The following is an 874-nucleotide window of genomic DNA, read 5'->3' on the forward strand; positions in this document are numbered from 1 at the left end:
ACTTTGAGAGGCCGAGGTGGGCAGATCACCTGAGGTTGGGAGTTTGAGACCAGCCTGGCCAATATGGTGAAACCCCGTCTATACTAAAAATACAAAAATTAGTCAGGCGTGGTGGTGGGCGCCTGTAATCCCAGTTACTCAGGAGGCTGAGGCAGAATTGCTTGAGCCCAGGAGGTAAAAGTTGCAGTGAGCTGAAATCGTGCCACTGCACTCCAGCCTGGGCAACACAGCGGGAGTCTGTCTCAAAAAAAAAAAAAAAAAAAAGAGCGGAGGTTTAATAGGCAAAAGAAAAAGAGAACAGCTCTCTCTCCCTGCACAGAGAAAGGCACACCCTAGTGGGTCTTCCAGTTCCGTGGTGAAATGCACAGGGTTTTATAGACAAGCTTGAGGAGGCGGTATCTGATTTACATGGGGCACAAGAGATTGGTCAGACGAGGTGTGCCGTTTGCATAGCACGCAAAGAAGTTGGCCGTCCCACCCTAATCTTTTATTATGCAGATGGAGTCTTTACCTGGACAGTGCCATGTTGCCTGCTTTCTTACTGCACACATGGTGACAAAGAAAAGGAAGGAGGGAACCTCTACGTTGAACATCCCTGGCTTCCAGGTATCCCTTTGCTATTGGCACAGCTGCCAGCATTTACCTATGCAAGCTTTTAGCTTGCTTATTCATCTCTGCTTGCAGCTTGATTTTTTAGGCTGCTCTTTGTTAGAAAAGAAATGATTTCGGGGCTGCTTTTTATTAAAAGGAAACCTTACTGAAGACTCTTTTACCCTCACCATCTGCCTAAATAATTTCTTTCTAGCTCCTGTATCAGTAACTTGCCCAAAGTTAAAATATGGTTCCCAGACAAATATATACATATGTGTGTGTT

Source organism: Homo sapiens, chromosome 4 (genome assembly GCF_000001405.40).
Source record: "Homo sapiens chromosome 4, GRCh38.p14 Primary Assembly".
NCBI classification, from domain to species: Eukaryota; Metazoa; Chordata; class Mammalia; order Primates; family Hominidae; genus Homo; species Homo sapiens.